General features: G+C 52.2%; 2 long non-coding RNA genes across 2 annotated transcripts in view, besides 4 other annotated features; both read left to right on the top strand.

Moving 5' to 3' along the window:
* Positions 6,278-6,327: an enhancer, noted in NCBI's record as "active region_28427". NCBI's record gives its function as "activates an Ori minimal core promoter by ATAC-STARR-seq in GM12878 lymphoblastoid cells {active_cell/tissue: GM12878}" and the evidence as "EXISTENCE:reporter gene assay evidence [ECO:0000049][PMID:35858748]".
* Positions 6,538-6,597: a silencer, noted in NCBI's record as "silent region_19922". NCBI's record gives its function as "represses an Ori minimal core promoter by ATAC-STARR-seq in GM12878 lymphoblastoid cells {active_cell/tissue: GM12878}" and the evidence as "EXISTENCE:reporter gene assay evidence [ECO:0000049][PMID:35858748]".
* Positions 7,705-13,311, top strand: part of LOC124900272 (uncharacterized) — a 90,204-nt gene continuing 84,597 nt past the window's right edge. The window contains exon 1 of the long non-coding RNA XR_007061513.1: positions 7,705-7,915. This is a non-coding gene — a long non-coding RNA (uncharacterized LOC124900272). The remainder of the gene's footprint in view (positions 7,916-13,311) is intronic.
* Positions 7,936-8,075: an enhancer, noted in NCBI's record as "active region_28428". NCBI's record gives its function as "activates an Ori minimal core promoter by ATAC-STARR-seq in GM12878 lymphoblastoid cells {active_cell/tissue: GM12878}" and the evidence as "EXISTENCE:reporter gene assay evidence [ECO:0000049][PMID:35858748]".
* The window catches only part of LOC107984035 (uncharacterized), a 123,240-nt gene continuing 118,570 nt past the window's right edge, over positions 8,642-13,311 (top strand). Inside the window, exon 1 of the long non-coding RNA NR_148348.1 lies at positions 8,642-8,932. This is a non-coding gene — a long non-coding RNA (uncharacterized LOC107984035). The remainder of the gene's footprint in view (positions 8,933-13,311) is intronic.
* Positions 8,776-8,905: an enhancer, noted in NCBI's record as "active region_28429". NCBI's record gives its function as "activates an Ori minimal core promoter by ATAC-STARR-seq in GM12878 lymphoblastoid cells {active_cell/tissue: GM12878}" and the evidence as "EXISTENCE:reporter gene assay evidence [ECO:0000049][PMID:35858748]".

The following is a 13,311-nucleotide window of genomic DNA, read 5'->3' on the forward strand; positions in this document are numbered from 1 at the left end:
CTAGAGGTTTACATCAGGCCCCAGGTTGACACCCAGGCTCAGGTGGACAATAGGCCCCAGGTGGATACCTAGGCCCCTAGTAAACCTCAGATTCTAGGTTGACATTCAGGCCCCCAGTAGTCATTTGGCCCCAAGTGGACACTCAGGCGCCAGGTTCACATGATGTCTTAACTGGACACCAAGGGGCCAGTTTGATACCCAATCCTATGTGGGTGCCAGGTCCAAGGTTACACTCAAGCCCCAAGTGGACACCAGGCCCCAGGTGAATAATACAACCCAGGTGGTCATTAGGCCCCAGAATGACACCAGTCCCCAGGTTAACAGGAAGCCCCCAGTGGGTACCTAGGCCCCAGCTGGACACCAGGCCTAATGTGGACAAACAGGATCAAGATGGACATCAGGACTCAGGTGGACATCTGGTGACAGGTGGACAACAAGCCTGGTGTGTACCTTGTCCCCGGGTGGTCATCAGGCCCCAGTTCAACACCAGTCCCTGAGTGGATTCCTCGGCTCCAGGTGGACATCCGGTCTTCAGCTGAACATCAGACCCCAGGTGAACACCAGGTCTTAGGTGGACATTAGGCCCCTGGTGGATATAAAGTACCAGTGGACATCCATGCTGCAGGTGGACACCCAGGGCCCAGATGGGCATCAGGCCCCGTTTGGACATTGAGGCCCCAGGTGGATATCAGGCCTCAGGTGAACCCTAGGTCCAACATAGACATCAGGCCTTAGGTTGACACTCAAGCACCAGATGGACTGCTGCACCTAAGCAGAAAACAGACCCTTATCTGGATATCTAAGATACATGTATACAACAAGCCCCAGGCTGACATCCAGACCCCAGGTGGACACCATACCCCAGGTGAACAGCAGGCAACAGTTTGGCACCAAGTACCTAAGTGAAACAAAGCCTTAGGTGATTACCAGGCCATAGGTAGTCATTAGTCTCCAGCTGAACAATAGTCCCTAGGTGGATACCCAGGCCCCAGGTGGACACTAGACCCCAGATTAACACAAAAACCAAGTAAAAAATCAAGCCCCAAGTGGACAACCAGGCCCTAGGTAAATACACAAATCTCAAGCTGACACCAGGCCCTATTTGGACACCCAAGCCCTAGGTGGACTTCGGACCCCAGGTGAACACTGAACTCTAGAAGGTCTTCAGGCCCTGTGTTGACTACCTGGCCCCAAGGAGACACCAGGCATAGATGAACTTCAGGCACCAGCTGTACATCAGGTTCCAGGCAAATGTCCAGGCCCCAGGTGGATATCACACCTCAGATGAACACCAGGCCCCAGGTAGACATCAAAAACCAGGTGGACACTCAGGCCCCTACTGAATATCCGTCCCCAGGTGGACATCTGTCCCAAGGTGGACACGAGGCCACAGATGTACACTTAAGCCTAAGGCAGACCCCAGTCCCCAGGAAAACTCCAGGCTCCATGAGGGCACTCAGACCCCAGATGGATGCACTGGTCCTAGGTAAATACAAGGCCCCAGGTAGACAGCAGGCCCCAGTGAACACTGGAGCCCAGGTGGGTACCTAGTCCCCAGGTGTGCATCAGGCAGAAGGTTGACCCAGTCCCCAGCTGAACTCTGGGCCCCAGCTGAACATCATAACCCAGATGGTCACCCAGGCTCCAGGTGAACACATGGTCTTAGGTGGACATCAGGCCCCACATGAACACCCAAGCCCCAGGTAGAGATCAGGCCTTAGGTGTACACCAGACCTCAGGTGGGCCTCTGGCTCCAGATGGCCATAGGTGGATAACTAAGCCTCTCGTGGATATCAGGCCCCAGGTGGGCACCAGGCTCCAGGCGAACATCTAGCCCCAGGGGGACATCCAGCCCCTGGTGGACATCAGGGCTCACATGGATAAACAGTTTACAGATGGACACCTGCCACAGGTGCCTCACCTCTACTTCCTGAAACCTCACTTCCCCTCATGGGCCTTCTGTCCGACTTGCGGTACCCCTAGCCGCCCTAGGAACACACTGGACTCGAACCAGGGGTGCCAGGGTCCCTGGGGCTCAGCGCAAGGGTTCATGGGAATACACTTTCGTCCGTGGGGGACCCAGTCCTCACTTCTCGGCGGCGCAGTTTTTTTTTTTCTCTGCCCCAGGTGCCTCACCTTCCCCTCATGGGCCTTCTGTCCACCTTGTGGTACCCCTGGCGGCCCGAGGCGCACCCTGGGCTCGAACCAGGGATGCCAGGGTCCCCAGGGCACAGCGCAAGGGCTGATGGGGAGACACTTTCTTCCGTGGGGGTCCCAGGCCCCGCTTCTCCGTGGCGCGTTTTTTTTTCCCTCTGCCCCAGGTGGGTCACCTTCCCCTCATGGGTCTTCTGCCCGCTTTGGGGTACCCCTAGTGGCCCCAGGCACACGCTGGGCTCAAATAAGGGTCGCCAGGGTCCCCGGGGCCCAGCGCAAGGGTTGATGGGAAGACACTTTCACCCGTGGGGGACCCAGGCCCCGCTTCTCCGCAGCGCTGTGTTTTTTTTTTTTTTCTCTACCCCAGGTGACTCACCTTCCCCTCATGGGCCTTCTGCCCGCTTTGGGTTACCCCTAGCAGGCCAGAGGCGCACCCTGGATTCGAGCCAGGGACGACAGGGTCCCCGGGGCCCAGCACAAGGGCGGATGAGACGGCACTTTCGTCCTTGGGGGACCCAGGCCCTGCTTCTCTGTGGCGCGGTTTTTTTTTTCTTTTATGCCACAGGTGCCATACCTCTCCTCCCTCAAACCTCACCTTCCCCTCATAGGCTTTCTGCCCGCCATGGGGTACCCCAAGAGGCCCGAAGCGCACCCTGGTCTTGAACCAGGGATGCCAGGGTCCCCTGGGCCCAGCTCAGGGGCTGATGGGAAGACACTTTCTTCCGTGGGGGACCCAGGCCCCGCTTCTCCGCGGCACAGTTTTTTTTTTCTCTGCCTCAGGTGCCTCACCTACCCCTCATGGGCCTTCTGCCCGCTTCTGGGTACCCCTAGCGGGCCCAAGGCGCACCCTGGGCTCAAACCAGGGTCGCCAGTGTCCGCGAGGTCCAGCGCAATGCCTGATGGGAAGGCACTTTCGTCAGTGGGGGACACAGGCCCAGCTTCACTGCGGCGCGGTTTTTTTTTTTTCTGCCACAGGTGCCTCACCTTCCCCTCATGGGCTTTCTGTCCGCCTTGGGGTACCCCCAGCGGCCCGAGGCGCACCCTGGGCTCGAACCAGGGATGCCAGGGTCCCTGGGGCCTAGCACCGGGTCTGATGGGAAGGCACTTTCTTTCGTGGGGAACCCAGGCCTCCCTTCTCCGTGGCGAGGTTTTTTCCTTTTTTCTCTGCCCCAGGTGCCTCACCTTCCCCTCATGGGCTTCTGCCCACTTTGGGGTACGGCTAGCGGCCCGAGGCGCACACTGGGTTCGAACCAGGGTCGCCAGGGTGCACGGGGCCAAGCGCAGGGGCTAATGGTAAAGCACTTTCGTCCGTGGGGGACCCAGGCCCCCCTTCTCCGTGGCGCGTTTTTTTTTTCTGCCATAGGTGCCTCACCTCCCTTCCCTCAAACCTCCCCTTCGCCTCATAGGCCTTCTGCCCGCCTTGGGGTACCCCTAGCGGCCCGAGGCGAACCATGGGGTCGAACCAGGGACGCCAGGGTTCCCGGGGCCCAGTGCAAGGGCTGATAGGAAGACACTTTCGTCCGTGGGGGACCCAGGCACCGCTTCTCCGCGGCGCAGTTTTTTTTTTCTTTTGGCTGCCCCAGGTACCTCACCTTCCCCTCATGAGCCATCTGCCTGCTTTGGGGTACCCCTAGTGGACCGAGGCGCACCCTCGGCTCGAATCAGGGTCGTCAGGGTCCCCGGGGCGCAGCGCAAGGGCTGATGGGAAGACACTTTCGTCCGTGGCGGACCCAGGCCCCGCTTCTCTGCGGTGCGGTTTTTTTTTTTTTTTTTTTTTTTTGTCTGCCACAGGTGCCTCACCTCTCCTCCCTCAAACCTCAACTTCCCCTCATGGGCTTTCTGCCTGCCTCGGGGTACCCCTAACGGCCCGAGGCGCACCGTGGGTTTGAGTCAAGGTCGCCAGGGTCCACGGGGCTCAGCGCAGGGCCTGATGGGAAGGCACCTTCGTCCGTGGGGGACCCATGCCCTGCTTCTCCGTGGCGCGTTTTTTTTTTCTGCCACAGGTGCCTCACCGCTCCTCCCTCAAACCTCACCTTCCCCTCATGGGCCTTCTGTCTGCCTTGGGGTACACCTAGCGGCCCGAGGTGCACTGTGGGCTCGAACCAGGGAAGCCAGGGTCCCTGTGGCCCAGCGCAAGGGCTGATGGGAAGACACTTTCGTCCGTGGGGGGACCCAGTCCCCGCTTCTCCGCGGCGAGGTGTTTTTTTTTTTTCTCTGCCCCAGGTGCCTCACCTTCCCCTCATAGGCCTTCTGCACACTTTGGGGTACCCCTAGCGGCCCGAGGCGCACCCTGGGCTCGAACCATGGAGGCCAGGTTCCATGGGGCCAAGCGCAGTGGCTGATGGGAAGGCACTTTCGTCCCTGGGAGACCCAGGCACCAATTCTCCGCTGCGCGTTTTTTTTTTTTTTTTTTTTTTTTTTTTTTTTTTCTGCCACAGGTGCCTCATCTCTCCTGCCTCAAACCTCAGCTGAAACTTTTGGGCCTTCTTTCCTCCTTGGGGTACTCGTAGCAGCCTGAGGCGCAGCGTGGGCTCGAACCAGGGATGTCAGCGTCCTCGGGACCCAGCTCAAGGGCTGACGGAAAGACACTTTCGTCAGTGGGGGACCCAGGCCCCGCTTCTCCGCTGCGCGGTTTTTCTTCTTTCTCTGCCGCAGATGCCTCACCTTCCCCTCATGGGCTTTCTGCTCTCCTTGGGGTACCCCTAGCGGGTCCAAGGTGTACCCTGGTTTCCAGCCAGGGACACCAGGTTCCCCAGGGCCCAGCGCAGGGGCTGATGGGAAGGCACCTTCGTCCGTGGAGGAGCCAGGCCCCGCTTTTCTGCAAGCGCGGTTTTTTTTTTCCTTTGCCCCAGGTGTCTTACCTTCCTCTCATGGGCCTTCTGCCGGCTTCTGGGTAACCCTAGCGGGCGCGAAGCGCACCTGGGGCTCGAACCAGGGTTGCCAGGGTCCATGGGGCCCAGGGCAGGGGCTGATGGGAAGACACTTTCATCCGTGGGGGACCCAGGTCCCGCTTCTTTGCGGCGCGGTTTTTTTTTTTCTCTGCCCCAGGTGTCTCACCTTCCCCTAATGAGCATTCTGCCCGCTTTGGGATACCCTTATTGGGCACGAGGCGCACCCTGGGCTCTAACCAGGGTCGCCAGTGTCCATGGGGCCCAGCGCAGGGGCTGATGGGAAGGCACTTTCGTCCGTTGGGGACCCAGGCCCCGCTTCTCCGCGGCGTGTTTTTTTTTTTTTTTTTTTTTCCTGCCACAGTTGCCTCACGTCTCCTCCCTCAAACCTCACCTTCCCCTCATGGGCCTTCTGTCCGACTTGGGGTACCCCTAGTGGCCAGACGCACACCCTGGGTTCGAAACTGGGACACCAGGGTCCCCGGGGCCCAGCGCAAGGGCTGATGCGAAGACACTTTCTTCCTCGGGGACCCAGGCTCTGCTTCTCTGCGACGTTTTTGTTTTTGTTTTTTTCGCTTTTCCCCAGGTGCCTCACCTTCCCCTCATGGGCTTTCTGCCCACCTTGAGGTACCACTAGCGGGCCTGAAGCGCACCCTGGTTTCGAGCCAGGGACGCTAGGGTCTCCGGGGCCCAGTTCAGGGCTGATGGGTAGGGACGTTCGTCTGTGGGGGACCCAGGCCCCACTTCTGGGCGGCGCAGTTTTTTTATTTTTTTCTCTGCCCCAGGTGTCTCACCTTTCCCTCATGGGCCTTCTGTCTGCCTTGGGGTACCCCTAGCAGGCCGAGGCGCACGCTGGGCTCGAGCCAGGGATACCAGGGTCCCTGGGGCGCAGCGCAAGCGCTGATGTGAGGACAGTTTCTTCTGTGGGGGAGCCAGGCCCCGCTTATAGGCGGCGCGGTTTTTTTTTTTTTTTTTTTTCTCTGCCCCAGGTGCATCACCTTCCCCTCATGGGCCTTCTGCCCGCTTTTGGGCACCCCTAGCGGCCTGAAGCGCACCCTGGTCTCGAACCAGGAATGCCAGGGTCACCTGGGCCCAGCGCAAGGGCTAATGGGAAGACACTTTTGTCCGTTGGGGACCCAGGCTCTGCTTCTCCGTGGTGCGGTTTTTTTTTTTTTCTGCCACAGGTGCCTCACCTCGCCTTCCTCAAACCTCAACTGCCCCTCATGGGATTTCTGCCCGCTTGTCTTCCGAGGCTGCGGTGTGGATCTCGCACTGCGGCCGCCTCGCCTTGGCTGGGGAGAACCTCGGTGGGTAGGATTCAGAGGGGCTTTTGGTTTCCCGTTTTCCACACTGAACACTTCTAACTGGTCTCTGACCCTGATTATTAAGGGCTGCAAACAGGAAGGATTTTATTCACCACTGATGCGGCTCCGAGTAGTCCCAAAGCGAGGCAGTGCCCACAAGGTCTGTGCTGAGAACGCTGCTCTGCCTTCGCGGTGTCTCCCGGGTGTGTGCTGAGCAGAACGCAGCTCCGCCCTCGCGGTGCCCCTGGCCCGCCCTCCCGGGTCTGTGCTGAGGAGAACATGCTCCGCTTCGCTGTATCTCCGAAGTCTGTGCAGAGGAGAACTCAGCTCCGCCCTGGCAATGCTCTCCGGGTCTGTGCTGAGGAGAAGGCAGCTCCGCCCTCGCAAAGGCACAGGGCGCCGGCGCAGGCGCAGAGAGGCGCACGGGGGTACCCCTAGCGGGCTCGAGGCCCACCCGTGGCTTGAACCAGGGTCTCCAGGGTCCACAGGGCCCAGAGCAGGAGCTGATGGGAAGGCATTTTCATCGTGGGGGACCCAGGCCCTGCTTCTCTGTGGCGCGGGTTGTTTTTTTTTCTTTTTCTGTGACAGGTGCCTCACCACTCCTCCCTCAAAACTCACTTTCCCTCATGGGCTTTGTGCTCCCAAAGCTCCCCTTGGGGTGCACGTAGCGGCTGAGGCACACCCTGAGCTCGAACCAGGGACACCAGGGTCCCCGGGTCCCAGTGCAGGGACTGATGGGAAGACACTTTCGTCCGTGGGGAATCAGGCCGCGCTTCTCTGCGGCGAAGTTTTTTTTTTCTCTGCCCCAGGTGCCTCGCCTTCCCCTTATGGGCTTTCTGCCCACCTTGGGGTAACACTAGTGGCCCGAGGCGTACCCTGGGATCAAACCAGGGACGCCAGGGACCTCACTGCCAAGCGAACGGGCTAAGGAGAAGACAATTTCCTCCGTGAGGGACCCAGGCACTGCTTCTCGGCGGCGCGTTTCTTTACTTTCTCTGCCTCAGGTGCCTCACCTTCCGCTCATGGACCATTTGTTCACTTTCTGGTAACCGCAAGCGGTCCCGAAGCGCACCCTGGGCTCGAACCAGGGTCGTCACTGTCCACTCTGCCCAGGGTACAGCATAATGGGAAGGCACTTTCATCCATGGGGGACCCAGGCCCCGCTTGTCTGAGGCGAGGTCTCCTGTTTTTTTTCTGCCCCTGGTGCCTCACCTCTATTCCCACAAACTTCAAATTCAACTCATGGGCCTTCTGTCCGAGTTGGGGTACCCCTAGTGGCCCGACGCGCACCCTGGGCGCCAACGACGGATGCCAGGGTCCCTGGGGACCAGCGCAAGGGCTGATGGGAAGACATTTTCGTCAGTAGATGACCCAGAAACCTCTTGGCAATGCATTTTTTTCTCTGCCCCAGGTGCCTCAACTTCCCCCCATCAGCCTCCTGTCTCTCTGCACCTGCGCCGGCGCCGTGCTCTTCTCTGCGCCGCCACCGTTGCTCGGGGATGGGTCCCTGAGACTTGGCGAAGTAGGAGTACTGGACTCGTGCACAGGCCCTGTCTCGCAGGTTTTCAGGTGAGCTTGGCGTTTCCTCCGCTTTGAGGGGCAGGTCTCCAGTGGCCCCCGGGCGCAGGCCTGGACATCACTGTCCGTCTCGTCGTCGCCCACTACGGCCTCAGAGACACAGGCTCACTGCATGTGCTCTTGGGGGACGTCAGTGCCACGTGTGGTCACACTGGCTCCGGCTCGGACTAGCCTCTGTCTCTCTTTGCCCGTGTCTCCAGAAGCCGCGTCGAGATGCCGGAGCCCCCGGGCCTTGGAGATGAAGGCAGGCCCCTGCTCCACCCAGGAAGGAGGGAGGCAGTGGGCTCGTGGGTCAGTGCCTTTGCAGGCGACAGCACGCCTTGCGGCCCTGGGGATCTTTCTGTGCCCCGGCGAGAGCCTTTCCGCCTCACTGCATTGTAACCCCATTCCCGATCACCGGGTGGGATCCATCATCGGATCCCAAGAGGAGTCCGCGCAGCCCAGCCAACACCCGAAGCTCCTCCTTCACCGAGAACCCAAGCAGAAGACCGATCAAGGAGGTCCTGACGACAGGACTCCTATGGGTCCGACCCTGGGTCTCCCGCAGGCCCCTCTGGTAGTCCTCTTCCCACCCGCCGCCCGGGGCTGCGCCGCAGCCGCCGCCGCAACCTCCAGCACCGCCGCACCAGTCCCCGCAGCCGCCGCGTCGCCGCCATTTTTTAAAGGGTCCGCAGCCTGACTCTGCCGAGTAAGGGGGGTGGGGCGGGTGAGTCGGCCTCGCCAGTGCGCATGCGCGAGGCCCGAGCCGCCGCTTTGGTCACAGTGACCGCCACCGTTGCCCGGGTATGGGTCCCTGAGACTTGGCGAAGTAGGAGCCCTGTGTGATCGTGCGTCAGAGTCGGGGCTGAGACCAGCCCTGGCCAGGGCAGTTACCAGGACGGTCTCCGGAGGCCGGGATTCGCGGAGGGTCCACCAGCAGGAAGAAACCCCAGGAGGAAGAAACCTCAGACAGATCGCCGGGGAGGCAGCGCGGGATCCCAGCCTCAGGCGTGCGCGGACGGTGTGCGGGTGAGTCTCCCCAAAAGTGGCGCCCTTGTGATGTCAAGGACAGGTCTCCCTGTGTGCCCGTGGGCTGCTGTCTCACCGGTGGCTCGTAGTCGCGGAGACTAGAACCCGGCAGCTTCAGGGGCTGCCTGGGGGTGGGTGTTACCTGCTGTATGTCTGTGTCCGTTATGGGGGTGTGTGTGTGTCTGTGTGTCTGCGTGTGTGTGTGCGCGCGCGCGCGTGTCTGTGTGCCCACTACCGTCTCTCTCTTAAGTCTCTCTCTCTCTCTCTCTCTCTCTCCCTCTCTCCCTTCTCGCTCTTTCCGTCGCCCTCTCTTTCTGTCTCTGTCCGTCTGTGTGTGCGTGCGCCTTGGGACACATGTTCCCTGTGCGCCGGAGGCTGGGTTTCTTGCACGTCGGCCTTTCTTCTGGTCAGCCTCTCCCCGCGTCTCTGCCTGGGTGTTGTGGCCGGTTGGCAATCGTTTTCCCGGCGGTTCCGGCTTGGGGGTCTGTGAAGGCCTGGGCAACGTGGGCATCTGCGTCGGAGCCGCAGGGGTTTTCATTCCCTCCCCATCCGGAGCAGCCTCTTTGCTAGGCTAGATCCAGACGACCGCTCCCCAACCAAGGACAACGGCCTCCCAGGCGCTCATTGTCCACCCGCAGGAGGGTGCCCGCAGACCTTCCAGAAGATGCTTCTCACGCCTCTTGCCCTGCCCTCTGCCCTCATGGAGAAATCTAGCCACAGCTCGACGCAGGGACGGAGAAGGAAGCCGGCAAGGGGATGGGGCAAGCCTCTCTCTCACTCAAAGGCAGTATAGAAGTCCACCACAGAGGCATATCCAGTATGGTGCCCACCACCTCATCTTGGGGCTGGGTGAAGGGCAAGTGGCACTGCAGGAAATAGTAGCCTTGTTCTCTGTCCTCAATTTGTTCCAAGATTGCGGCCCACACCAGTGCTTGGGCTTGTGAGAATGGAGGGCTCTCCAACAGTTCAGAAACAAGCAGTCTGCCGCAGAGGTGAGAAGAGCAAAAGACACCCCCACCTGTGCTTTTCCATGGAACATCAAGTCCCTCAGAGTATAATGTCTGCTGGGTTCTTGCTTCCTTATTTTTCTGTGTTCAAATTTCTTCTTGTGGTGCTCTAGCACACTTCCGTCTATATAGATATTGGAATTAACGATTATTTATCCATAACTTTGCTTTCTCTTTCTGAGAATAACTAGAGTCAAATATCTATAGTCAGTCATATTGAAGAAAAACCTCAGAAATATACTTCTTAGTAACTCAACACCCAAGAGCAAATCATAATGGAAATTATAAAATATTTTTAATTAAAAAATGTATACTACATTATAAAATGTGTCATTTTAGAGGAAAATGTAGAACCTTAAATTCTTATTTTATGAGGACAACAAATTAATTTTTAAAATGTTTTGAATTTATTGGTAGAAGTTAGAAATATCAACAGAAATAAAAGGAAATAATAAATACATGCATAGTGATTAAGAATACAGGGAAAGAAAAGTCAAGAAATATGGCCAAAAGTTTGTTAGTTGTTGTAGGAGCCATACAATAACAAAACTCTGGAGAAATGGCTTGATAAAATTAAGAGAAGAAACAAGTATGCCATCTCAGGAATCAAAATAGGAAATAATTATACATCAGGTGTCAAGAATTTTTTTTGTTTTTTGGAAAGGATCTGTTGGTAATTATTTTAGGTTTTTGGGCTATATGGTTTGTTGCAACTAATCAATTCTATTGTTGTGGCATAAATTGACAGTATGTCAATGAATGAGCATGACAGTGTTCCAGTAATACTTTATTTATAAATACTGTCTGGCTTATTTGCCACAGTTTATTGAGTTTTGTTATAAATAATACAAATATCAAGAAGGTAAATTAGTGTAGTATGAAAACGTTTAATTCAATAAATTTGGAAATATATGTAAAATGTGTACAATTACTTGAAACATGCATTTTTCCAAAAGTAACCTAAAGTGAAAAGAAAAATCTGAATTGTGCTACAACAAATGCATGTAATCAGTAGTCAGAAATCATATCATAAAGATAATTTCAAGCCATGATGACTTTACTGGCAAGTTGTTTCAAACATGAAACAAAACAATAATTCCAATCTTACATACAATTCTTTCTGAGCATGAAACAGGAAAGAACATACTCTATTTTATTTTATTATGCTATTATGACTCTGATATTATAACCTGACAAGGATAGTAAAGGGAAAGTAAATTAAACACCAATGTAATTTATGAAAATATTGAAGGAAAACTTAAAAAAGTTCCATGCAGAAATAAGCAATGCATTAAAATGTAAGACATCACAGCCAATGTTTATTCTAAGAAACCCTGGGAAGCAATAATGGCCTCATGTAAAGGTATCAATTAATATGATACACCACAACAAATAACTTAACAATATTATAAGCATATTTAATTTTATTTTCTTAAAAAGTCATACATTTTAACAACCCGAAATTAAAAGAGAATCTAGTTTAACTGATAACATTTGTTTTCAAAAGTTCTATTGAAATTATAACACTTAACAATGGAATGTTCAAATATTTCCTTTGTGATTGGGAACAAAATAAACATAGATGGTACAAGCAATTTTATTTATCCTTTTGCAGGTCTTAGACACTGGGATAGGATTGTAAATATTAAAAAAATAAGAATTATGAAAGAGAAAACAGATTACTATGTTACCGATGACACTAAGTACACAGAAAATTCAAAATGATTCTAAGATACATTATACTAATGAATATGAGCTTTTAGCAAGATGCTTTGACACAAATATATTATGCAATATTGAAATGCATTTCAAATAAGTAGAGAACTTTATTTAGATGTGTCAGTGTGGCTTACTCTCACAAACATAATATTTAGTGGCATGATTAAGTCACAAAAGAATATGTACAGTATAACTCAGTTTAAATAAAGTTCAAATAAACATAGACATAACATTGACATAAATATATTCTTGAATTGAAAGACTTTAATGAAATCACTTCTCCCCAAAATTAATCTTTGTAACTAGTGCATCCAAAGTAAAACCCAGTAAGGTTTGATTTAGATATTGACAAGCTAATTCTAGAATTTATGTAAACTCTAAAAATATTAAAATTCAGTTAATAATTTATTGAGGAAGGAAAAATATATTACAGGAAATATAAGAATTAATGCAATGTGGTATTAACAAAGTAATAAATAATCAATGAAATGGAATAGGTAGACTACAGTAAGGAAAATATAAGAACCCATGATATGTAAGAAAGCTAGTATTATAGATCAGTGGTGAAAAATAAATTTGCCAATAAATGAGAGTGAGAAAACTGGCTATACATATGGAAAATAATTAAAGTGATTCTTTACCTTATATAATATTTAACAATCAATTCCTTGGCAATCAATATTTAAATGTAAAGCCAGGCAAAAATTACAGAAAACCCGACAGTAAAACAAAGAAAATGGCTTGCACATGTGCTTTATAAAATGTACAATGTAAGTGTCCACCATACATATTTAGAATCACTTTAACTTATTTTTAACACAAAAATGCAAATGAAAATGTTTTATATGTACATTATTACTTATACAAGAGATTGACCAAAAACGGTCTGACAAGACAGACTTCTGGCAAACATATAGAGCAATAATAATTTCATATGCTTTCCTGGAAATGGAAATTATATCCGTTTTAAAAAGAGGCTTGTATTACCCAGTAATATTGAAGATGACCATATATTCTAATCAGCAATTGGCTTTCACTCCTTATTTTGTATGTACATGGTTGGCCATTAAGAAATGTAATCCAAAATATTTACAGGCTCAGTTAAGTACTATAAGCAATGCAAAAGTTAAACAACAGTAGAATGTGGTAGATTCATACAGTGGAATACTACACTTTAGAAAAAAAATAGATAACTTTATTTAGATATGTTAATGTGGCTTACTCTCACAAACATAATATGCAGTGGTATGATTAAGTCACAAAAGAATATGTACAATATAATTCAGTTTAAATAAAGTTCAAGAACACAAAACAGCAAGTTGGATTGTTTATAAAAGGTTTACTGGACACTAAATCTATAAAGATAATAATAGAAATTATTTTAACACATCCTTCAATTACCTTTCATTCCTCCAGAAATTTGTTGAAACCTCTTGAATGCCTATGACCTTTCTCATTTCCTCCACTGTTTAATTTCCTTTTATACTTTGTTTAAAACTTTGAATGGACATATGAGAGATGAAGTCATATTTTTCTAAATAAGTTCAAAAATATTTTGCTTTAAAATATAAGTAGTGATTAAATTTCTAAGAATTGAGCAATAGTTGAATGTTATAAATTTAGTTTTCATGAATATTTCTCTCTCCACATTTC

The sequence above is a fragment of the Homo sapiens genome, chromosome 9 (genome assembly GCF_000001405.40).
Source record: "Homo sapiens chromosome 9, GRCh38.p14 Primary Assembly".
Classification (NCBI taxonomy): Eukaryota; Metazoa; Chordata; class Mammalia; order Primates; family Hominidae; genus Homo; species Homo sapiens.